This window comes from Homo sapiens, chromosome 12 (genome assembly GCF_000001405.40).
Source record: "Homo sapiens chromosome 12, GRCh38.p14 Primary Assembly".
Classification (NCBI taxonomy): Eukaryota; Metazoa; Chordata; class Mammalia; order Primates; family Hominidae; genus Homo; species Homo sapiens.
In genome coordinates, this window is record NC_000012.12 from 8,227,669 (window position 1) to 8,249,605 (window position 21,937).

Genomic DNA, 21,937 nt, shown 5'->3' on the forward strand with positions numbered 1-21,937 from the left:
TGGGCCTGGGGCCACGTGGCACGGAGAGAGACGGGTCCATGGCAGTGTCTGCTTTTCTCTGTGAAGGCAAAGGGCCTCTGAGGGAGTATTACAGCCGCCTCATCCACCAGAAGCATTTCCAGCACATCCAGGTCTGCACCCCCTGGCTGGAGGGCCGAGGACTACCCCCGCTTCTAGGTGAGAGGCCAGCAGGAGGCTCAGGGAGGACGCGGGGCCTTAAGCAGGGGGAACAGGGGTGGGCAGGATGTACTTTTTTCAGAAAAGGTGGCTCTGGAGGCCACTTGGGGACAGGACCTGGGCTCTAGCTGAACTCCCGGGAGGAGGCTACTTCCTGGTGTGCCAGCCCCTCCCTGCCAGGTGGCCCCAGAGGCCCTTTACCAAGGGGTTTGAGGAGGCCACGTCCTTTCAGTCTGCCACGCCCTCCATTCAGTCCTCTTCCTTCCTGCAGGAGGGCTGGGCCTGGGGTTGGGGCCACTGTTGCCCAGGTGTGGGAGGGCAGTGGCTTTGGGAGGTACAGGGACGATGTGTCAAACAGCGTCGCCTCTCCCAGTGCGATGGTTCTCCTTTGCCTCCGTCTCTTTCCGCGTTGATTTCTCCAAGTGGGGAGTCGTGGCTTGGTCCTGATGCGTCTCTAGAGCCGCATCTTCCAGCTTCGAGTGAGCAGAGCAGTTGGAGTCTGAGGGCCTTTTCCTGGCAGGATTCTCCAGCTAGTCTTTGTTTTAGACAGTCTTGCTCCGTTGCCTAGGCTGGAGTGCACGATCTCAGTTCATGCAACCTCCGCCTCCTGGGTTCAAGCGATTCACCCACCTCAGCCTCCCAAGTAGATTACAGGATTACAGGAGCCCGCCACAACACCTGGCTTATTTTTGTATTTTTAGCAGAGACAGGGTTTCACCATGTTGGCCAGGCTGGTCTTGAACTCCTGACCTCAAGTGATCCTCTCGCCTTGGCCTCCCTAAGTGCTGAGATTCCAGGCCTGACCCATCATGCCTAGCCCCAGCTAGTCTTTAGAAATGTTAAGCTATTTGGCTTTATTTTCACACTGACAGCTGGTTTGTGGTGGGTGTGATGTGGTTTATTATTATTATTATTATTATTATTATTATTTTGAGACGGAGTTTCGCTCTTGTTATTATTATTATTATTATTATTATTATTATTATTATTATTATTTTGAGACGGAGTTTCGCTCTTGTAGCCCAGGCTGGAGTGCAATGGCGCGATCTTGGCTCACTGCAACCTCTGCCTTCCCGGGTTCAAGCGATTCTCCTGCCTCAGCCTCCTGAGTAGCTGGGATTACAGGCACCTGCCACGAATTAGCTTCGCTAATTTTGTATTTTTTTTTAGTAGAGATGGGGTTTCACCATGTTGGCCGGGCTGGTCTTGAACTCCTGACCTCAGGTGATCCACCCGCCTTGGCCTCCCAAAATGCTGGGATTACAGGCGGGAGGTGAACCTGGGAGGTGAAGGTTGCAGGGAGCTGAGATTGTGCCACTGCACTCCAGCCTGGGTGACAGAGTGACACTCTGTCTCAAAACAAAACAAAACAACAACAACAAAAAACAAATTGTGGCTATGTAGAAAAAGTGTCAACTTACATTTTCAGATGTCCCACCCAGGCCGTGTGGCTGCTTGGCCACCTTAAGCCACTTGTGCTTGGGGTTGTCGGGGACCTTATCCAATTTTCACTCCCCTCGGGGGAAGTTGTCTCACTGTGCTGGGAGGATTTGTGTTCCCAGGGCAGAGACCAGCGCTCTGACCCACCCCTCTTGCCTAGCAGGGTTAGTGGACCTGGGTGTCTCTCTGGACACATCCTCCAGTGGCCTGGACCTGCCCATGAAGGTGGTGGACATGTTCAGGTGCTGTTTGCCTGCGTGTGCCGTGAACTTCAAGTGGTAGGAGCAGAACCCCAATCTTTCTGGGGATAGCTTCACAGATCCACCACTGAGGGGGAAGCAGTGCAGAGTGAGCTGCCCACAGTGAGGCCCTGCCCCTCGGTCAGTCCAGCACACACTGGAGGCCACGAGGAGGAGCCCTGCGGTTGCTGTGGCTGGGCTGAGCCTCACTGAAGTAGTTGCTTCCATTTAGAGCTCATGTTATATTTAGGTTGGTACAAAAGTAATCACGGTTTTTGCCATTAAAAATGGCAATTACTTTTGCACCAACCCAATATGAAAAAAAAAAGTACCTTAAATACAAGAACTCCACTCGGGGCTTTTGCTCCTAGAGTAGAATTGGCGGGAATTGCCTGCAGGCTTACATGGTTTTCTTTGTTTTTCTCTCCCACCATGTCCCTTTTGGCCAAGCTCACGTGCTGGGTTTGAACGAGTTAAATGAGTGTCATGCTGTGGCCTCACTGCACCCAGCATAGACGGGTGTTTGGAAGGGCGGCGTTAGAGGAGATTCTAGAAGCAGTAGCCCCAGCACAAGTTGAGCCCTTGGCCCCTGCTCAGGAGCCAGCTCCTGGATGGGATTCAGGGATGCGAGCCCCTCATGTGAGCTGAGCTCAGGGAATGTCGGGATCAAATCTGGTGTCCTAGAAAAGTCATCTTTTATGTGCTGAACCAGTCCCCAGGGGGTTGCCTTTACTTGTTCCATGGCCATGGAATTAAGAAAAACATGCAAAAATAATTCTTCAGTCCTTGAAGAGCATCCAGCACAGAAGGTACAAACCTTCCTTAAGGCTCTCTCCTCAAATCGATTTGGTCATTTTGATGTGCACCCCCCCCAGGCCTTTATACCCTTCAGATGCCAAATCTAAGAACCAGCTCCCAGAAACCACACCCCCTGTTCCAACCCCCAGCCTGGCTTGAGCGTGGGGTGGGTGGGAGCCCAGCTGGGCACCCCAGGGGTCTGGTGTCTTCCCCAGGCAGCTCTCAGGCTCCCTTGGTTCTCTCTGCAGTTTACATGAGCTGGTGAAACATAAAGAAAATGGCCTGGTCTTTGAGGACTCAGAGGAACTGGCAGCTCAGCTGCAGGTAGCCATGTCTGCCACCACGCCAGGGTGGACAGGGTTCTGGAGACTGACATCGAGCCACGCTCCCTGATCCCTGCTTCACACAGCCAGGGTGGGACCATGCAGGGTCTGGTGGAAAAGCTAGGGAGGGAGCAGAAGTCACAGAGGCTTCCTACTCTGCTGTCCTGTTTCGGTACAGTAGGCTCGGGAAAATTAGGACACACCCCCACCTGCCCTCTGGATTTATGGAGCTGAGACTCCACAAATGATGCTGGAGCCGGGTGGGCCGGGCTGCAGTTTAGGAAGTGATCAGGATCAGGTAGGTGCGTGGGCAGAGGGAACTTCTGGGATCAGCCTTGAAAGATGGGTGGAATTCTGCAAAGGTTACTTGTTTCTTATTGCAAAAAGTAATACACCATTCTTGTCAACAGAATGATTGGGAGGATTTTCAGTAAAGGTCCAGGTCAGAAGTCATTTAGACAGGGTCCCCCAGTCTCTGTCAGAACCATGGTACTCTGTTGTGGTGTGAAAGTAGCCACAGATCATCTGTAGATTAAGGGGTGTGGCTTTGTTCCAATAAAGCTTTATTTACAAACACAGGCTGTGGGCTGGCTTTGGCCTGCAGGCTGTAGTTTGTGATCCTTGATTCAGACAGTTTAGCAAGGCTGAAAAGAACACACACACCCGTTTGTTACCCACAGATGGGTGGGACTGTGTTGGCCAGAGGCCGAGAGGAGGGTGCTCACAGGGGAACGTACAGCATGTAGAGGCCGGAAGGTGCTCCAGGGCACCAAGTGTGGGAAAGTGGGACATACGGGGAAGTTTCCAGAAAGCATGATGTCACGTTGGAGGCGGAGCGCTGCTGGGTTGTGAAGGGTCTCAAGTCCAAGTGAGGGAGTTAGGGACTTGGGAGGGGTTGTTGTTGGGTCGGGGACCTGGGGTCAGCCAGGTGGTGACCTGGGATGAGATGGGGACAGGCAATGAGGTAAGCTCTGCTCTTTAGCATTTTGCAGATGCTTTTCTCAAACTCTCCTGATCCTGCAGGCAAGCTAAACCAGTTCCAGAAGAACCTGCGGGAGTCGCAGCAGCTCTGATGGGATGAGAGCTGGGTGCAGACTATGCTCCCTTTGGTTATGGACACATAACTCCTGGGCCAGAGGCTAAAACCCCAGGGCCCCTGCTGTCCTTCCCGCAGCTTCTTCTTGGAGTCTCAGGGCAAACCCTTTCGAGCAGCGCCTCCCAGTGGCCAGAAGCTGAAATGACGGCAGTGGTGCCACCTGGTGAATGACCCGGGAAGCTGTGGTGGGCCCTGATTTCTTCTTTGGAGTCTCTGAAACGCTTCCTGTCTTCTTCTGTTCTTCACGCCCCATGCCCCTGCTAGCGTATTACTGTTCTGTGACTTCCCTGTGACCTCTGCAGTACTCCTCATCCTGCATTTGGTATCCAGGTGTCACCTGTCTGCCGTGTTCCTAACACTTTGATTCCTGTCTTGAAAAAAGCACCTGCTGCACCATAAGCCCTGGGATGTGGCAGCTGCAGCGGGCTTGGCTTTCTGAGGAACCAAGTGTGTCCACGTTGGGGGAACGTCATACTTGATACACACGTTTTTATTTGCACAAAGAAAATGCTATTTTTGGAGCCAGAATTTTCATGTCTGATTTATGGTGCTTTTCTTAAGAACCAGAACTACTGGCAGAAAGGCGGCACCCACACGCTTAGACAGCTGATATCTTATTAGAGGGCAGTTTGTGGTTCCTGATTTGGAATTTAACAATCTCCAAACATTCCAGTCCAATGAAAGTTTTAGCCGCTTTCCCATATAAAAATTCTTCCCATGAGAGTGACTTGATTCTTACAATCCCGTTAGAGTCGTGTGTGAGTCCTACAGTGTGAGGTTCAGCATTGCCATCTCCAAGTGCTCTCCGTAGGGAAACAGTTTCTGGTCATGATGAGCTTCTGCTTCCCATCTGATCCCGGCCCAGCCTGGAAACAAAGCACGTGTTTAAGGATGGCGGTGTTTGGGGACAGGACATGAGCGTTTTGTGTGGGGCTGCTAGGACAGGCCTGGCGGGGTGGGGGGTGTCTAAGTCAGTTTACTTGTTTCACAGGTTCCCAGGCCCACCCACATACCTAGAATTGGCCTCCAGGATGGGACCAGACATCTGGTTTTGCATAGAAATGGCTAGCAGCAGGCACCATGCCGCTGTCCACTCTCTGCCTGTGTCTGCCCCAGCACTTGGCACAGCAGGACAGAAGCAGAGATCTGAACCCACATCTACCTGGCTGCTCAGTCAACTCACTCTTCGCAAAGCTTAGAAAGTGGCAGGGCACAGCCAGACTCTGTCTCAAAAAAAAAAAAAAAAAAAGGTTGGTTGGGGCTTATACTATGTGTGCTGCTTGGCACTGTTTTTTTCACTTAAAAGATATTGCAGGTTTTTTTCACGTAAGTATCTGAAGAAAGACTTCCTTTTTTTTTTTTTTTTTTTTTTTGCTTTTTTGCTTTTTTGAGACAGGGTCTTGCTCTGTTGCCCACGCTGGAGTGCAGTGGTTAGATCAGGGCTCACTGCAGCCTCCACTTCATGGGCTCAAGCCATCCTCCCACCTCAGCCTCCTGAGTAACTGGGACTACAGGCATGTGCAACCACATCTGGCTAGTTTCTGTATGTTTTGTGAAGACGGGGTCCCACTATGTGGCCCAGGTTGGTCTTGAACATCTGGGGTCAAGTAGTCCTCCTGCCTTAGCCTCCTAAAGTGCTGGGATGACAGGCCTGAGCCCCACGCCCAGCCAGCCTCCTGTGCGAGGTTGTGCGGGACTCTGTCATGGAACCCAGTATGCCTTCATGTGCTGGCTTGTTTGTTGACTCTGTAGTTAACGGGCTGCCCCACGTGGGCAGGTACTGGGTCGTCTGTGTCTCTGTGTGCAGGCAGAGGCTGCTGCGAGTGCATCTGTGCAGATGGCTGCCAGGAGGGGCTGTGCTCAGGGGGAGCTGGGGCAGAGGCTGGTGGCAATGGGGGGCTTGGGTGTAGTGTGGAGGCACTAGAGCCAGGTGGCCGGGCTGCAGTCTGCGGGAGCTCGGGGGTCGCTTGGCCTCTGTGTGTCCCAGTGTCTTTGTCGGTGTGATGGGACAATGACAGCACACCCTCACAGGTGCTGGGGGCTGACAAATGTCAGGTCTGAGGACAGTGGCTGGCCCACTACGGGGCCAGTTTCCCTTCTCTATAGTCACCCTGCTCGTCTTCCATCAACTGGGTGCTCAGGACAGTGGCGTGGAGGATCCGCCTGTACAGCCTGTGCTCCAGCATCCTGCAGGCCACAGCTGTGTCCAGCCCTGACCCCGACTGCCCCTCCCACCACCTCCATTTTATAGATGAGGAAACCGAGGCCCAAGGGCTTAGGGAACCGTGCTCTGAAGCACATAGTAGGGCTGCTGGGCTCAGACCCTCCCTCCCTGTGCTGAGCTGCCCTCCTCCTGCCGCAAGACCCCATGCCCCAAGCCCACCCTGCTCACCGGCCTGTGCCCGAGTTCCCTGCATGGTGTAGGAGTGTGGGACATCCTAGCTTTTCCCCGGTGCCCAGTTCTTTCACTTCCACTGGAGTCCTGCAGGGACAGCTCAGGGACCATGCAGGCCCGGGTGGGTGTGTGGGCTCACCTAGCTCGGTGGTGAACAGCTGGCACGTCTCTGGGTTGCGGACGGTAAAGGCCACGTAGACCTCAGGAGCCCGCTTGTGCTCCTGGCAGGCAGCCAGCCTCCGCAGGACCCCGACCAGCGACACGATGGCTTCTGGGCAATACAGCACGTCTACGGTGAAAGCTTCAGGTTACTGAAAGGGACAAGTGGAAAGTTCCAGTTCATGCTGACCTCAGCAGCAGGGCGAGGCCAGAGAGGCAGCGGTCCTATGAGACTATTAGATGCCATTTGACCATTTGGGCCATTAGATGGAAAGGCAATTACTTGGGTGAAAAAGGAGAACCCTTAGTAGAGAAAGCTGCAAAAGACCGAAGCAAAAGAAAAAAATCTCCAGACTCACTGGTGTTCCTTAAAAAACCAGCTCTGGTTCTTGGCCTATCTAGAGGGCTTTGAATGACAGAAAGCCTGACCCTGCCATGAAATTCGTGTTTCAGGTGTCTGCCGATTGGTCTGCTGGCTTGCAGGGGTGGGCCTGTGTCCCTGGCCACCGCTGGACCTGTGGGTTTCAGGGCTGGGACCCAGGACCACAGGCAGAGCTCTGCTTCACCAGAGAGGGGACTGAGTGTGCTTGCAGGGGTGAGGGGTTTTCGGTGGCCCAGCCAAATACCACCTTCTCTCATGGGCCTTGTCCTCGTCCCAGAAGTGGTTGTTTTCCTCCTGTGGTCTCTGAAGGACACAGGGCATGGCTCTGGGACAGAGCCATGTGCCGACGACTGTAACGGGAGTATGCCTGTCTCCACCAAGAGGGCTGTGGCTTGAAGGTCACCTTAAGAGGCACCCCTGTCCTTTGATGTCACCCTGGAGGCCCAGAGTAACTCTTCTGGAAGCCCCATCATGTCCATGCCTGACAGCGTCCATTGTTCCCTTTTCCCAGAGCCAAGAGCTGGGTAGAGCTGCAAGGACACCGCCTGCACAGGGTGCCCGGGGCTGGGCATTACCTGCTGCAATGACAACATCTGGCTGGAAGGCAGAGAGCTGATGGACCGTCGCTACGTCCCAGTCCAGCTGGGCCACTGTCACCCTGGGGCTGTCTAAGTTGGCAGTGATGTCTGCCTCTAATGAGAGGCCATTGAGAAAGACATTCCCTTGGAGCTGCTCGAGGACCCGGCTGTGAGGGTCGCTGAAGATGTATGCCCGGGGGCGGCACATCTTGCAGATGGCAAGGCCTGTGAGGCCGGCACCACTGCCAAGTTCTAGGACAGTCCTGGCGGGAGGAAAGGGGACCGTGTCTTCGACTGCACCAGGGTAAGCCTGCCTTGGTGCCCTGCCCTGTGCCCCGAGGTCACCTGTTAGTGAAGGCTGCTGGGTTCTCGATGGCCCATTCTGCAAGGCAGAGGGTGGCGTCCCATGTGACCAGGCCTGTGGTACCGTGAGAGATGATGGCTGTGCTCTCGGAGATTGTGACCGAGCCTCCCGAGGGCTGCACCAAGAGAGGGCGAGAGAGTCAGTCCAGCGATCAGAAGGCAAGTGGCTTAGAAGACAAGTAGCCATCCACCACATGGCTGAATAAACCATGACAGGACCAATCGCCACTCAGCAATGAGAAGCAGCTAACTGTTGACATACCAACAGCTTTCACGGGCCTCAAGATTGTCACGTGGCATGAAAGACACTCATCTCAGGCCACACAGGATTCCATTCATCGAACATTCCTGAGACAACGGAATTCTGGCGATGGAGCACAGGTCAGTGGTGGCCAGAGGCCGGGTGTGGCTATGAAGGGGTGGCTGCCTTGTGATGATTCAGTATGCTATGTTTTTCCTTTGTGGTTTTCTGTATCTATGTTTTATCTTTTTTTTTTTTTTTTGAGCTCTGTCACCTAGGCTGGAGTCAGTGGCACGATCTTGGCTCACTGCAACCTCTGCCTCCTGGGTTCAAGCAATTCTCCTGCCTCACCTGCCCAAGTAGCTGTGACTACAGGCGTGTGCCACCATGTCTGGCTAATTTTTATACTTTTTTTTTAGACATAGATTCGCTCTCGTTGCCGAGGCCGGAGTGCAATAGCGCGATCTCGGCTCACTACAACCTCCACCTCCGGGGTTCAAGAGATTCTCCTGCCTCAGCCTCCCGAGTAGCTGGGATTACAGGCCCCCACTACCACACCCCGCTAATTTTTGTATTTTTGGTAAAGATGGAGTTTCACCATGTTGGCCAAGCTGGTCTCAAACTCCTGACCTCAGGTGATCCCCTTGCCTCAGCCTCCCAAAGTGCTGGGATTACAGGCATGAGCCACCACGCCTGGCCTAATTTTTGTATTTTTAGTAGAGACAGGGTTTCACCATATTGGCCAGGCTGGTCTCGAACTCCTGACCTCAGATCCACCCACCTTGGCCTCCCATAGTGCTGGGATTACAGGCATGAGCCACCATGTCCAGCCCTGTCAAGTATTCTTTGAGGACTGAGCACCAGGTCCTTGTGAAGCAGGTAGTGTGTGTCACCTATTGGACAAATGCCCAACAACCCCACGAGACATGCTGTTGTTGTTGAAGTGCTTGATTTACAGACAGGGAAACTGAGGCTAAAGAAGGTTAATGGACCTCATGTCTAAGACTGCAGAATGGGTGAGTCAGGATTTGAACCCACACCCACGTTTTCACTTTTTCTGTGCAGGAAGGGTATCTGGGCTGTGAGGGGGAGGAGGGTGCCCTTCTCATACCAGCAAATAGCTCCGGTGGCCCTGGGTGGACTCCTTGACCATCAGAGTCTCTGCCAGCCCCTCGTACAGCTCGTCCAAAGGCTCCGTGTGGACAGCCTCGTGCTGGGGGCATACAGAGTGAGAGCTTGTTTGCTTTCGTACTAATCTGTAAAAATGGCCAGATGATTTTCACCAAGTTTGGAGGGGAGATTTGGGATGGAATGGTGTAATACCGGCCAGCTGGTATATAAAATATTCACTTCGTTGGGCGTGGTGGTGTGTGTCGAATAGTTCCAGCTGCTCTAGAGGCTGACATGGGAGGACTGCTTGAGCCCAGGAGTTCGAGGACAGCCTGGGCAACAGAGATCTTGTCTCTAAAAAAAAATAATTCCACTTCGTAGGGAAACCTGGACGGGAGGGCCTTCAACAAGAGGTGTTGAGAGGGGAGGGTTAGGTGTAGTCTAGGGCAGGAGACAAGGATTCCGTGAGAGCTGCCACATGACCATGACAGAGAGCTCTGTGTTTGGATCAAACACAGAGAGGAGGAAAACAAAAGGTGCTTTTAAGTGAGCCCAGGCAGAACTGTGAGGGCGGCCCATGCTGCAGGCTGTGGCTGTCAGCAGGCTGCTTCTCCACAGCTGGCCCCGTCCTAGGATTCACAAGGCAGCAGCAGGGTACACTGGGTGACTGCTGCCCTCTCGTGGTGGCACAGGGCAGACCGGCTGGCAACCACAGATGCACCCTTTTGGGGAGGACTAGGGAGAAAGCAGGTATTGGAGAAGCAGGGGATTGTTTATTTGCTAAAAGTGTGGCCCTTTCACTCAGCAGGTCTGCTACTGCCTACTAAGGAACGGCTTCTCGACATCCTCCTGTCAAACCCTGCATGTTCAGGCCCATCTTTAAAATCCATCCTAGGCCAGGTGCAGTGGCTCATGCCTGTAATCCCAGCACTTTGGGAGGCCGAGGCAGGCGGATCACCTGAGGTCAGGAGTTCGAGACCAGCCTGGCCAACATGGTGAAACTCTGTTTCTACTAAAAATACAAAAATTAGCCAGGCATGGTGGCGTGTGCCTGTAGTCCCAGCTTCTTAGAAGGCTAGGCACGAGAATTGCTTGAACCCAGGAGGCAGAGATTTCAGGGAGCCGAGATTGTGCCACGGTAATCCAGCCTGGGCACCACAGTGAGACTGTCTCAAAAAAGTAAATAAACAAGTAAAAAATAAAATCCATCCTATAGCAGTCAGGAAAGAGCTCATTCCAGCAGGATCAATGAAGAGAATTCACCAGAGGAACTAGTTCCAAAGGTATGGCAAGAGCTAAATCTTCCAACAGGGGCCCGTGGGGCAACCCAGAGACGGACAAGAGCAGGAAACTCCAAACCCTTCGGCGGGCAGGACAGAGGGTGTGAGTGAGGGTTCCAGTGTTGTGGGCTGGACCAGCCTGGTAGGAATGAGAATTCATATGCTAGGAGATGGGGCCCCAGAGAAGCAGCTGCTGTGGAAACCCCAGGAGGCAGAGTGAGGGAGAGACGCTGGCCTCCCCTTCTTCCCACCCTGCACTGTCTCCCATGGGTCACACTCAGCTGCAGCCAGTTGCCTGCGGAGGCCCCTGCCATGCTGGGGTTTGCAAAGCAGGCCCAGGGCCTGGGAAGGACGGGGGCTCCAGCACGCAGGTGGCTATGCTGTCCGGCTACTGGGCGGACACTGCCCATAACTGACCTTTTTGATGAGTTCTGAGAGAAAGCACCGGGCATACTTGACTGACGGCGGGTGCTTCACACACACACAGGATGCTTCACAGTCTACGGCAAAGGACAGAACGTTGGTTGCTCGAGAGCCCGTCTTAAGTCTCCTATGAGCTTCAAGCCAACACAACAGAGGGCAAACTCCAGGCTACCTGATCCCTCAGCAAAGATGCAGATGGACACAGCGTTCTGGCCCCACGCATCTGAAGTTCGTCTTAAGATGTAAGCCGTTTCCTAAAAATGCTTCCACTGCAGTGGCACAGGCTATGGCAGCATTTCTAACGCCCATTCTGAGCAGGAACACAGGGCATGTGGGTCCCAACCACCTCCCTCCCAGGGGAGCCAGTGTGAACCAGGGTTTGCAGTAAGGACAGTCGCCAACTGTCTGGCTCTATGGAAGAGGTGGGAAGGCCCACTCAGCAACTGCTCTCTTGGATCATGTGTCCCTGGGGACAGGATGGAGGGGAGGGGGCGCTCAGGGTGACTCCAGCTAAAGCCGAGAGAAGCCAAGTGCAGGATGAGCAAGTTCCAGGCAGTGGGAACAGCCTGTGCAAGCTCTGAGGTGGCCACGGGCTGGCACATGGAACGGAGGGCAGAGGGACTGGTGCAGCAGGAGGGGGGACGGCGGGAAAACAGGAGCCTGGAGGGAGAGGGAGGAGACGGTCCGCAGCGCCTGCTGGCTGGGAGGGATGCAGATTCTGCCCAAGGGCAGCAAAGTACCCCACGCAATACACAGGCTCTTCATGCTGGTGCTGGTTTTTCATTTTTTCTGACACAGAGTCTCGCTCTGTTGCCCAGGCTGGAGTGCAATGGCCAGATCTTGGCTCACTGCAGCCTCCGCCTCCTGGGTTCAAGCGATTCTCCTGCCTCAGCCTCCTGAGTAGCTGGGACTATAGGCGTGCACCGCCATGCCCAGCTAATTTTTTTATTTTTAGTAGAGATGGGTTTTTGCCATGTTGGCTAGGCTGGTCTTGAACTCCTGACCTTAGGTGATCCGTCCACCTCAGCCTCCCAAAGACCTGGGATTACAGGTGTGAGCCAGTGCACCCAGCCTTGTGCTGGGTTTTAAAGCAGCTCTCCCTATATCTCATGCTTCACCACCTACCAGAGTGAGGCTCAGGGTGAAACTCAGAGCAAGGTGCAAGACAACTTCAGGTATCTCCATGCTCGAAGCCCTGACCTACTGTATTGCCCCGAAAGTCTTCCCTGCTGTGGCTGCATCTTTTCCACGTGGATAATCTTGGTTCACCTCTAGCACAGGAATTCTTTTCCGGGGCTCCTAGGATGGGCTGGGTGGGTGGGAGTGGAGGATGTCTGCCTCCCCTGAGTTTGTATGGAAAAGGTATTCTTTTGGTGCACTTCTTTCTGGGAGGGAGTCTATTGCTTTGTCTTTTCAGAAGGGCTCATGGCCCTTCGAAGGTGAAGACCCAGGATGCAGGGTGATCTGCACTTGGCCCTCAAGGCCAAGGTCAGGCTGTGGCTGGGCCGGGTGGTGATCCTGGCTCTCACCTGCATGCAGATGCACTTGAGTCCAAACCCCACCCTGGGCAAAGCAAGGGCCCATTTAGGTCTAGAAGAGACAGGAGTGGGTGGGACAGGCCTCATGAATGCAAAAAAGAAAGTCTCTGAGCATCTACCAAATGCTAGAAGCTGTTTTGCACCTGTCATCTCTGTTTTTGCTGTGGATGGTTTAAAAAACATTCCCTAGATTTCCCCCCTCTTGCAGATTTTTGTATATTCTGATGTCTTTGTCTAAGTCTTAGATAGAAAACGAAAGCGCAGGAGCTGTCGGAGGTGCTGACACCCACCTGCAGTGCTGACTCAATGGTTTTGTTCTTTGAAGAGGGCTGTTTTTAAAGGGTACAAGCACACCTGTGGTTCTTCTCTCAGGTCTTCCGGAGAGATTCAGGAGGCAGAGTCATGAGTCCCAGGGACTCTGGGATTCTTACCTTCTGCAAAATATCCCGCAGCAGCTCAGAATCTGATGAGTCTCTTAACTTTGCTTCTAAGCTCAGTGTGGACGGGGGAGGGAGAAATCTCAAGGGCGCATTCACAGGAACATTAAAACACGCAATAGAATGTGTTGGCAAAGCTCTATGTGATCCCTCCCTGGGGACGTGGAGCCAGTTGGAAGTGGAAGCCACAGCGGCTGAAAGCCTGACCTTCAGATGTCGCAGGGTGCACCTGGATGAGTCACAGGAAGAAGGCTGACTCTTGGCCGCATGAGTCCTGGCTACTCAGCTGCCACCCAGGTCATGGGCCAGCTCCCTGGTTGCACTGGTCAGCCAGGAATTACCAGGGCAGCCATGGCACCAAGGTTTGATGGGCTTGCCATCTGAGTTTAAGTGGAAATGCAGAATGTGCCCATACCAGCCTGGGTTACATTGTCCTCTTATAGGGGCCTCAAGCCCAGCAGCGAACTTTGGCTCCCGAGTTAGGCAGACTGTCTCGGCTGGCATGTGGCACACGGCAAGGCACTTCATTGCTTCAGAGCTCCTTCTATGCCATAAAAAGCCCTACAAGACCTGGTGCTAATCCCTCTCTCTGGCCTGTTCTCCCTCACCCCTGGCCCACCCTGCTCACTCCACTCCAGCCACACTGGCTGCCTTGCTGTTGTTCCTCAACCACAGCTGGCTTGTTTCCACCACAGGGCCTTTGCATATCCTGTTCCCCAAACCCTTCCCATGGCTGGCTGCTTCACCACTCAGGCCCCAGTTCAAATGCCACCTCTTTGGGGAAAGCTTCCATGATTCCCTGACTTTGGTGACTCTTCTCCCCAGTTGCTCCATTCACCATTTCCCTGTTTTATTGGCTTTAAAGCCACTCTCATCTGGTCTTTTCTTGTTTATTCATTTATCTGTTTATTCTCTGGCTCTCCCATGCAAGCAGAGCCTCATCTATCATGGGTACTGCTGATCCATGGTGCCTGGCTCACGGAAGGCATTTATTAAACATTTTGAGACTGAATAAAACACTAGCTAACACCGACATGCATTTACCATGAGCCAGGCACTGATCCACAGGCTTTTGTACTCAACGCTGACAACAACCCTAAGAGGTAGGTATCATTATATCCCCCATTAATAAGAAAACAATAGCACAGAGAGATGCAGTCACTTGCCCAAGGTCACACAGGGCAAGGGGTTGGGCCAGGATTCGAAGCAGGCAGGCTGTCTCCTGGGTCTGAACTCTCAACTACTTCACCCTAATCAAACAATCCCTCTGGTCAAATGTGAGTGATAATAATAGTACCCACCTCGTGGGTGTTGAGGGTGAGCCCAAGTTAGCATTCAGCGTGGGCATGTGAACAATTATAGTCAATATTGAATGGAGACCTATGATGCTTTTATGAAGGTTTCTATTTTGGATTAAAAATGCACAAATTTCTCCTGACCAGAAATGATCTCTGAGTGCTAAATATTTTATGTCAATGGAAGAATGCAAATGATTAAGCAACACCCCATAAAATGGGGCAGACCCAGGGAGGAATATATATCCAAACTGACTCATCCCAGTGAGCTCACTGCACATGAATTACAAATGGAGCGGGGTGCATTAAGCCCCTCTGCTGGCAGAAGGGAGGCTGCTGCCTGCCATGCGCCTGTGCTGAGAATGGCAGGTCCCCAGGGAGAGGAGAGGCCACCCCCTTCTCTTTCTCTTCCATCACAGGTGTGAAAGCCTCAGCGCATGAGCCAATTCTGTGCAGTGCTCGACATACAGATGAGAACACTGAGGCACGAGGCACAGCCTGTGATCTGGCCACCGCGCTCAGGAGGAGGTGGTTACCCGCGGGCCTGAGGGCGCTGACTTTTTAGAATGGGCGAGTGCAGCTGTGTCCCAGTGTCCCAGTGACCAGAACGATTACTGCCTTTTAAAAGTCGTGAAAAGGATCGTGAACTGTACCCCACACCGAGCGCGCGTCTGCCCCCCAAGGCGGTGGAGACACCCCCAGCTTCCGCCGCCAGCTCGCGGGGCAGAAGGGGTGCGAGCGACTCTGGCCAGGCCCCAGGGACGGAACCGGGTCTGGCGGCCCTGACCGGGGAGAGCCCAGGAACTCACGTAGCCGGAGCGCCGGGGGTTTCAGCACGGAGACCCATCCCGTCTGCCCCTGGACTCCCGCGAGCCCCGCGGGCCTCTCCGCTCGCCCCGCCGCCCACATGCCAGGGGAAGGAGCGCAGTGTGCGCGCCGCCAGGAAGCGGCGATCGAAACCCTGCAGCAAGAGTTCGATCCCGCGTTCTCCTCGGGCGCCATGACGTGGGCGGGGCCGCAGCGTTGCCGGGAGACCTGGAGGAAGCCGGCCTGGACTGAAGAGGGGGCGGGTCCGGGGCAGTGCGCGGGGGCAGGGAGGGGGCGGGGCCTGGGGGGTAGGGTCAGGAGGTGCGTCCTGGGGGCGGACTCTAGGGCGGGGCTAAGGTGAGCCTTAGGAGGGCGGGGCCTGGGGTGGGGCCAGGATGAGCGCCATGAGGGCGAGGCCTGGGGTAGGGCCAGGATAAGCCTCACTGGGGCAGGTCCTGGGTAGAGACCAGGTTGGCGGGTCTTGGGGCGGGGCCAGGATAGGGCGATCCTGGAAGCTGGGCTTCGGAAGCGTCCAGGTTGGTGGCGTCCTGGAGGCAGTGCCTTGCGTGGGGGCAGGATAAGAGTCCTGGAGGCGGGCATTAGGGCGGGGATAAACGCCATTGGGTTCAGGAGGCGGGACTCAGAGCAGAGCCCAGGAGACAGGTCTTAGGGCGGGGCTAAGGCCAGACCCAGAGAAGGGCTCAGGAGGCGGGGCAGGGGCGGGGCGTTGACTATGTCTTGGCACATGGCCAGGCGGTGCGCGGACTCTGGGAGGCGGAGCTTAGGACGGGCCCACGTGGGGAGGGGCCCAGGGTCCGGGAGGCGGTGCCGAGTCCCGGCTGGGCTGCGCTCAGGAGGCGGGCCCTGGGAGGCGGAGCTTAGGGAGGGGCCGGTGGCGGGAGGGACCCAGGGACTGGGAGGCTGGTCGGGGCTGGGCTCAGGGTCCGAGACCTAGCTGGGCTTGGGGCGGGGCCGAGACGGAGCGAGGGGTCCAGGGTGTGGGAAACGGGGAGGGGTTTGAGGAGAGGATCGGAATGTGGCTCAAGTTCGGGAGGCGTTACCTGCGGAGGGTTTGAGGCAGGCCCAGGAGCGAGCCCACGGTCTGCCTACGCGGGGCCAGGGGCGGGCCCCAGGATCCGGAGCTTCGGGCGGGGCGGAGTCCGAGTTTGGGGCCCGGGAGGCGGGGCCAGTTAGGGTGAGGGTCCCTGGGATCGACGGGTCAGGTCTTGGGCTAACGTAGGCACTCTCGCAGTTCCTCCGCCTTCAGGAAGGTCTTTTTAGCAGAGGCCTTACGGGTGCGCGCTTCGGTCCTGGAGGCCTTATCCTAACCTCCTCTCCATCAGCGCCACCCGTCTGGGGCCCGAAACGAGGGAGCTTTCCCTCTGTCCCCCAGCCTTTGGACTGTCACCAAACAAGCCATTCGTTCATCAAAAATACTTATTAAGCGCCTACCATGTGCCTGACAAGGGAGATGTAACGGTGAGAAAAAGTAGGTGTGGTCCAGGCCCTCCAGGGGCTCAGGGGCTCGTGGAAGAAGTGGACATTGAAATACTTATCACACAAATGAGGATAAAAGTACGATAGCGATATCTGCCACGAAGGTGAGCAGACAGAGCTAGCGGGGCTTGCAGGAGGAGTTTTGATCTTGCAGGGACAGGAAGGAGGAGTTAGCTCCTGCGGGGTGGGATTGGGGGTGGTGGTGATATAGACGTGGGGACAGAGTGGAAAACAACAAAAATATAATTATTTTAGTTCAAAGTTATTGTGTCTTGAGTTGAAAGGCAGGGCAGTTAGCAACACAGTTCAGATTTCAGTACTGCCCCTGAAATCTGAACTGTGTTCAAAGTCTAAAACGTTTACCTTAGCAAATTCCTCATAAAACTCCATTTGGAAGAGTCCCGAGAGCGAATTTGTTAAGTACACTTGCAAAAGGTAGATGAGGAGACAGATAAAATCTTATTACCTCTTTCAGATGAGAGCCACTTGAGCCCTGCTCAGCTATGAGAATAAGAGAGGGGAATTAATTCTAATTGAATACACTTGTTCTCTTATAGCTGTTGTTCCACACCAGAACCAAATGAGCGCAAGATCTGACAAAGAAAAAAAAAGGTTCATCTTTTATTCCTCCAAACACTTTCATTTAAATCAAGAGGATGGGATGTGGTTATTGCTGTGTTTTTAGGCAGAATCAACGGTTTCTGGGTCTGAGATGGTGCATACACCCTCTCAGTCCCTGTATCCTGAGATGGAGTCACCTAAGAATCCACAGCAAGTCCTAACCAGGGATGGGTCTGGGTGATTAAGGAAGGTTGGCTTCAGAACTGGGCCAGGGGCACTGCTTTGCTTTTGCTGTTTTGATCAGCTCTCTGCCTGCAGGAGACAAGGAAAACCAATGGGAACAGGTTAGTTGTACTCATAAATCCTGGGCTTATTTTCTTAACTCACATAATAGCTATTAATTGTCTTTCCTCCAAGGAGCAAAAGGGCATATATGGTCAATGCCATAGTAAGTAACATTGTATTATGTTATACTAAAATATTAATAAATCTAGGTTGGTTCAGTCTTTCCTGAGTCCATAGATTGGAAGCAGACTGAGGAAGGACGCTAGTGGACCACAGAGCTGAGCCATGCACACAGAAGAAATCTTTTTTTCTTTTTTTTTTGGAGACGGAGTTTTGCTCTCTTGTTGCCCAGGCTGGAGTGCAATGGTGCGATCTTGGCTCACTGCAACCTCCACCTCCCAGGTTCAAGCGATTCTCCTGCCTCAGCCTCCCGAGTAGCTGGGATTACAGGCGTGAGCCACCCTGCCGGGCCACTTGTATTTTTAGTAGAGACAGGGTTTGAACACGTTGGCCAGGCTGGTCTCAAATTCCTGACCTCAGGTTATCCACCCACCTCTGCCTCCCAAGGTGCTGGGATTACAGGCGTGACCCACCGCGCCCGGCCAGAAGAAATCTTTATCTTGGTGTGCAGTCTCTGGTGATGAACAAATGTCATCTCTCTTGGATCTGAATCTGGAAGGATCAAGGCACTGAAGGGATTTTTTTGTTTTAGACAGTCTCCCTCTGTTGCCAGGCTGGAGTGCAGTGGCAGGATCTCAGCTCACTGCAACCTCTGCCTCCCGGGCTCAAGCGATTCTCCTGCCTCAGCCTCTGGAGTAGCTGGGACTACAGGCACGCGTCACCATGCCCAGCTAATTTTTGTAATTTTAGTAGAGACAGGGTTTTACCATGTTGGCCAGGATGGTCTCAATCTCTTGACATCATGATCCACCTGCCTTGGCCTCCCAAAGGGCTGGGATTACAGGCGTGAGCCACCATGCCCGGCCTCACTGAAGGGATTTTTTTAATGTCACGTGGTTCTCACAGGTGCGATGTGTTCAGGAGCAAGTGAAGATTACGACGGATGCTTAAAAACAAACGTAAAATTCCAGGTGGTGTTGCTATGGGTAGCAGCATTAGGACAATCTGAGTGGTTTCAATTGCGAGAGTGTGCGTGTATGTGCAAGAACTACAGTCAAGATTCAACTTCTGGCTTTGAGGGTGTCTTTAATAACAGTAATAACAACCTAAGGCAGTTTAACAGTATGGAATGGTTGCCTTTTAGAAGTTAAGCTATGGGCATGGAAGTTCAATCAGTACCTTGAAGTTTTTCCTTTATCTCTCCTATGGTTAATGATTTCTGCAGAAAAGGACCAATTGATTTCTTTCTAAATCGTTGCTTCAGGGTGTAGAGACCTTTATAGGTCATGTTTCAACTTACAGAAAATTTTTGTAGTTCAAATATAAATTACTTTCAATGTGGACTTTGTAAGAGAATTTAAGGTTAAGTAAAGTTTCCACTTTCCTTAGGCTGTTTGCAGTGCCCAGCAGGCCCCATCATATCGAGGTGGAAGTTATGTTAAAGGAGGAGGTTGGTCAGGGATGGGCAGAATAAGGGATATGGGCAGCTCAGGCTAATGATGCAATGATTGAGATGTAGAAAGAGGGTCAGGCATGGGATAACGCCTGTAATCCCACTGCTTTGGGAGGCCAAGGCAAGAGAATCGCTTGAGGTCAGACCAGCCTGGTCAACAGAGTGAGACCTAACCTGTACAAAAAAACCCACAAAAAAACAAAAAAAAATTAGTCGGGCATGATGGTGTGCGCCTGTAGTCTCAGCCACTTGGAAGACTGAGGTCAGGGGATCCCTTGAGCCCAAGAGTTTGAGGCTGCAGTGAGCTATAATCACAGAACTGTACTCCAGCCTGGGTGACAGGGTGAGGCCCTGACTCAAAAAAAAATTGAGTCAGGGAAAAAATTGGAAATCTTAATCCTCAGTACACAGGAATGTGACCTTATTTGGAAATAGGGTCTTTCTAGATGTAATCAAGTAACAGTGAGTCATCCTGGATTGGGAGCTGCTGGTGAGGGGGCAGATGCAATGACTGGTGTCCTTATAAAAGAAGAGAATGAGGGCCGGGCATGGTGGCTCATGCCTGTAATCTCAGCACACTTTGGGAGGGTGAGGTGGGGGGATCACTTGAAGTCAGGAGTTCGAGACCAGCCTGGGCAATAATAACAATAAAAAAGCCATTTTAGATTCCAATCCACTGAAAGAAAACTGACCCTTAGTTAATGTCATGCTTATTGGATCCATGAAGTCTTTGAAAATTTAAACTACAAGGACACTGCTCTCTGTGGTGGTGGAGAGAATACCAAGGATTTAAAGGTCTTTAAGAAAGAGAATGTAGAAAGCGTACCCATTGGAAACAGCAAGATGATGATAATCGTACTGACAGTAATAATAAGCTGAAATATATAGAGCTTACTATGTATCATGAATTGTTCTGAATTCTTTATAAATATATGTTACCTCCTTTACCCTCATGGCAGCCCAGTAAAGTCGCCATTCCCCATTTTACAGCTGGGGAAACTGAGTTACAGAGCTTTTCTGCACTGAGTCATCAGGAGCAAATGCTAGATCAGGTAACTGAACCCAAGCAATCTGGTTCCAGAGCCAAACAGATGTATTTTTTATGGCATAAAAACATATACATACATTTTTAGGGGAAGGGTGGGTGTAGGATGGGATGAGGATTCTGGGTAATTGCTTGGTAAATGCCAAATACCTTTCTTGTCTGTCCCTCTTTTCAAATGATAAAGTAATGTCAATTGCAACACTTTTTTTTTTTTTTTTTTGAGACAAGGTCTAGCTGGAGTACAGTGATGCAGTCATAGCCCACTGCAGCCTCAAATTCCTGGGCTCAAGCGATCCACCCACATCAGCTTCCCAAGTAGTTGGGACTACAGGCCCACACTACTGTGCCCAGCTAATTATTTTAATTTTTGCAGAGATGGCAGGTGGCGGTGGGGGGGGTGTCTTGGGGGGTGTCTTGCTATGTTGCCCAGGCTGGTCTCGAACTCTTGACCTCAAATGAACCTCCTGCCTCAGCCCCACAAAGCTCTGGAATTATAGGTGTGAGCCCCTGTGGCTGGCTACAATACTATTTATTTATATTTTAGACCAACAGATATTCTAGCATATAAGAAACGTGATGCTCTCTGTACATTGAAGAGTTGGTCTAATATTTGTCCTGGTGGATACAGAAATTGCCTGTCTGCTCCGCTCTGGTTGAAGAAACCAGTCCGACTGTCTCTGAGGCTATGGAGCAGTCCATCAAGAATAAAAGCCCTCTGCCAGGCACGTTGGCTCACACCTGTAATACCAGCACTTTGGGAGGCCGAGGCAGGTGGATCACTTGAAGTCAGGAGTTCGACACCAGCATGGCCAACATTGTGAAACCCTATTTCTACAAAAAATAGAAAAATTAGCTGGGCCTGGTGATACGTCCCTGTAATCCCAGCTACTCAGGAGGCTGAGGCAGGAGAATCACTTGAACTTGGGAGGCACAAGTTGCAGTGGGGAGCTGAGATCACACCACTGCATTCCAGCCTGGGCGACAGAGTGAGACTCTCTCAAGAAAAAAAAAAAAAAGAATGAATGTCCTCATGATGGCCTCAAGCACGTTGGTCCCTGAAGAGAGTCAAGGAAGGCCCACTTTACTCTGCACTGCAAAGCAGGCAGGTGGACAGGAATCTGAGAAGTGGATTCAGTGAGAGGCATTGACCCAAAGGATTTTCTGCCTAATGGTCGGTCCAGCAGAAGATTAAACTGAGCACTGCATCCTGTTCCCTCAAACCATCTGGTTGGTCAGTGGGGAATGTTCTTGCCTCGTTAAATGTCCTCATGCTACTGTCAAGATATCCTGTTACAAAACGTCATAAACCAGGTTTACAAATAGGCCAGGTGATTGTGGAATTTCTCCTTGGCAAGGCCTTTGCTACGGGCGTGCGATTGGTGTGCAATAATCACAGTGTTCTGGGCCACTTGAGGGATAAAATATACCTTAGGTGATAAACTGTTGTATTTTAATGTGAATATTTCCACCAACATTAAACAGTAACCCCATGAGTTTTCTCATACCTGTTACACTCTGGAGTCGCAACAAGCTAACATGAAGCAAGTTGCAAACATAGTTATTGCATTTGGCTCCTATTCACAGCAAGGCTTCTTCAAGCTGTACCTGGGACAGTCTTCCCTCACATGAGGTTTATAGCATCATTTATTTCATTATTTATTTATTTTTTGAGATGGAGTTTCACTCTGTCGCCCAGGCTGGAGTGCAATGGTGCGATCTTGGCTCACTGCAACTTCCGCCCCCTCGGGGTTCAAGCGATTCTCCTGCCTCAGCCTCCCGAGTAGCTGGGATTATAGGCACCTGCCACCACGCCCGGCTAATTTTTGTATTTTTAGTAGAGACGTGGTTTCACCATGTTGACCGGGCTGGTCTCAAACTCCTGACTTCAGGTGATC

The 21,937-nt window shown here is 52.5% G+C and overlaps 2 long non-coding RNA genes and 2 pseudogenes across 4 annotated transcripts in view, besides 7 other annotated features; 3 read left to right on the plus strand and 1 right to left on the minus strand.

Moving 5' to 3' along the window:
• ALG1L10P (ALG1 like 10, pseudogene) lies at nt 66-4,096 on the plus strand (annotated as a pseudogene).
• Nucleotides 3,381-15,278, minus strand: FAM86FP (family with sequence similarity 86 member F, pseudogene; annotated as a pseudogene). The gene is made up of 5 exons (NR_024254.1): nt 15,084-15,278; nt 10,999-11,081; nt 7,933-8,066; nt 6,608-6,779; nt 3,381-4,939 (listed from the first exon to the last, which is right to left on the minus strand). The product of NR_024254.1 is annotated as a family with sequence similarity 86 member F, pseudogene (transcript).
• LINC02449 (long intergenic non-protein coding RNA 2449) lies at nt 7,747-14,896 on the plus strand. 2 transcript variants are annotated; one of them, NR_120454.1, is made up of 3 exons: nt 7,747-8,331; nt 11,069-11,246; nt 14,694-14,896. It is a non-coding gene; the product is annotated as a long intergenic non-protein coding RNA 2449 (long non-coding RNA). The 2 variants fall into 2 exon arrangements; NR_120455.1 differs by lacking the exon at nt 14,694-14,896 and having other exon boundaries at nt 11,069-11,289.
• Nucleotides 9,895-10,395: an enhancer, noted in NCBI's record as "H3K4me1 hESC enhancer chr12:8390159-8390659 (GRCh37/hg19 assembly coordinates)". NCBI's record gives its function as "activates a minimal SCP1, AML or CMV promoter by ChIP-STARR-seq in primed H9 embryonic stem cells {active_cell/tissue: H9 hESC(primed)}" and the evidence as "EXISTENCE:reporter gene assay evidence [ECO:0000049][PMID:30033119]".
• Nucleotides 15,021-15,200: a silencer, noted in NCBI's record as "silent region_4209". NCBI's record gives its function as "represses an Ori minimal core promoter by ATAC-STARR-seq in GM12878 lymphoblastoid cells {active_cell/tissue: GM12878}" and the evidence as "EXISTENCE:reporter gene assay evidence [ECO:0000049][PMID:35858748]".
• Nucleotides 15,361-15,470: a silencer, noted in NCBI's record as "silent region_4210". NCBI's record gives its function as "represses an Ori minimal core promoter by ATAC-STARR-seq in GM12878 lymphoblastoid cells {active_cell/tissue: GM12878}" and the evidence as "EXISTENCE:reporter gene assay evidence [ECO:0000049][PMID:35858748]".
• Nucleotides 15,681-16,060: a silencer, noted in NCBI's record as "silent region_4211". NCBI's record gives its function as "represses an Ori minimal core promoter by ATAC-STARR-seq in GM12878 lymphoblastoid cells {active_cell/tissue: GM12878}" and the evidence as "EXISTENCE:reporter gene assay evidence [ECO:0000049][PMID:35858748]".
• Nucleotides 16,151-16,200: a silencer, noted in NCBI's record as "silent region_4212". NCBI's record gives its function as "represses an Ori minimal core promoter by ATAC-STARR-seq in GM12878 lymphoblastoid cells {active_cell/tissue: GM12878}" and the evidence as "EXISTENCE:reporter gene assay evidence [ECO:0000049][PMID:35858748]".
• Nucleotides 16,261-16,310: a silencer, noted in NCBI's record as "silent region_4213". NCBI's record gives its function as "represses an Ori minimal core promoter by ATAC-STARR-seq in GM12878 lymphoblastoid cells {active_cell/tissue: GM12878}" and the evidence as "EXISTENCE:reporter gene assay evidence [ECO:0000049][PMID:35858748]".
• Nucleotides 16,355-21,937, plus strand: part of LOC112268090 (uncharacterized) — a 51,420-nt gene continuing 45,837 nt past the window's right edge. The window contains exons 1-4 of the long non-coding RNA XR_007063199.1: nt 16,355-16,682; nt 17,136-17,190; nt 17,312-17,483; nt 19,988-20,049. This is a non-coding gene — a long non-coding RNA (uncharacterized LOC112268090). The remainder of the gene's footprint in view (nt 16,683-17,135; nt 17,191-17,311; nt 17,484-19,987; nt 20,050-21,937) is intronic.
• Nucleotides 16,503-17,002: an enhancer, noted in NCBI's record as "H3K27ac hESC enhancer chr12:8396767-8397266 (GRCh37/hg19 assembly coordinates)". NCBI's record gives its function as "activates a minimal SCP1, AML or CMV promoter by ChIP-STARR-seq in primed H9 embryonic stem cells {active_cell/tissue: H9 hESC(primed)}" and the evidence as "EXISTENCE:reporter gene assay evidence [ECO:0000049][PMID:30033119]".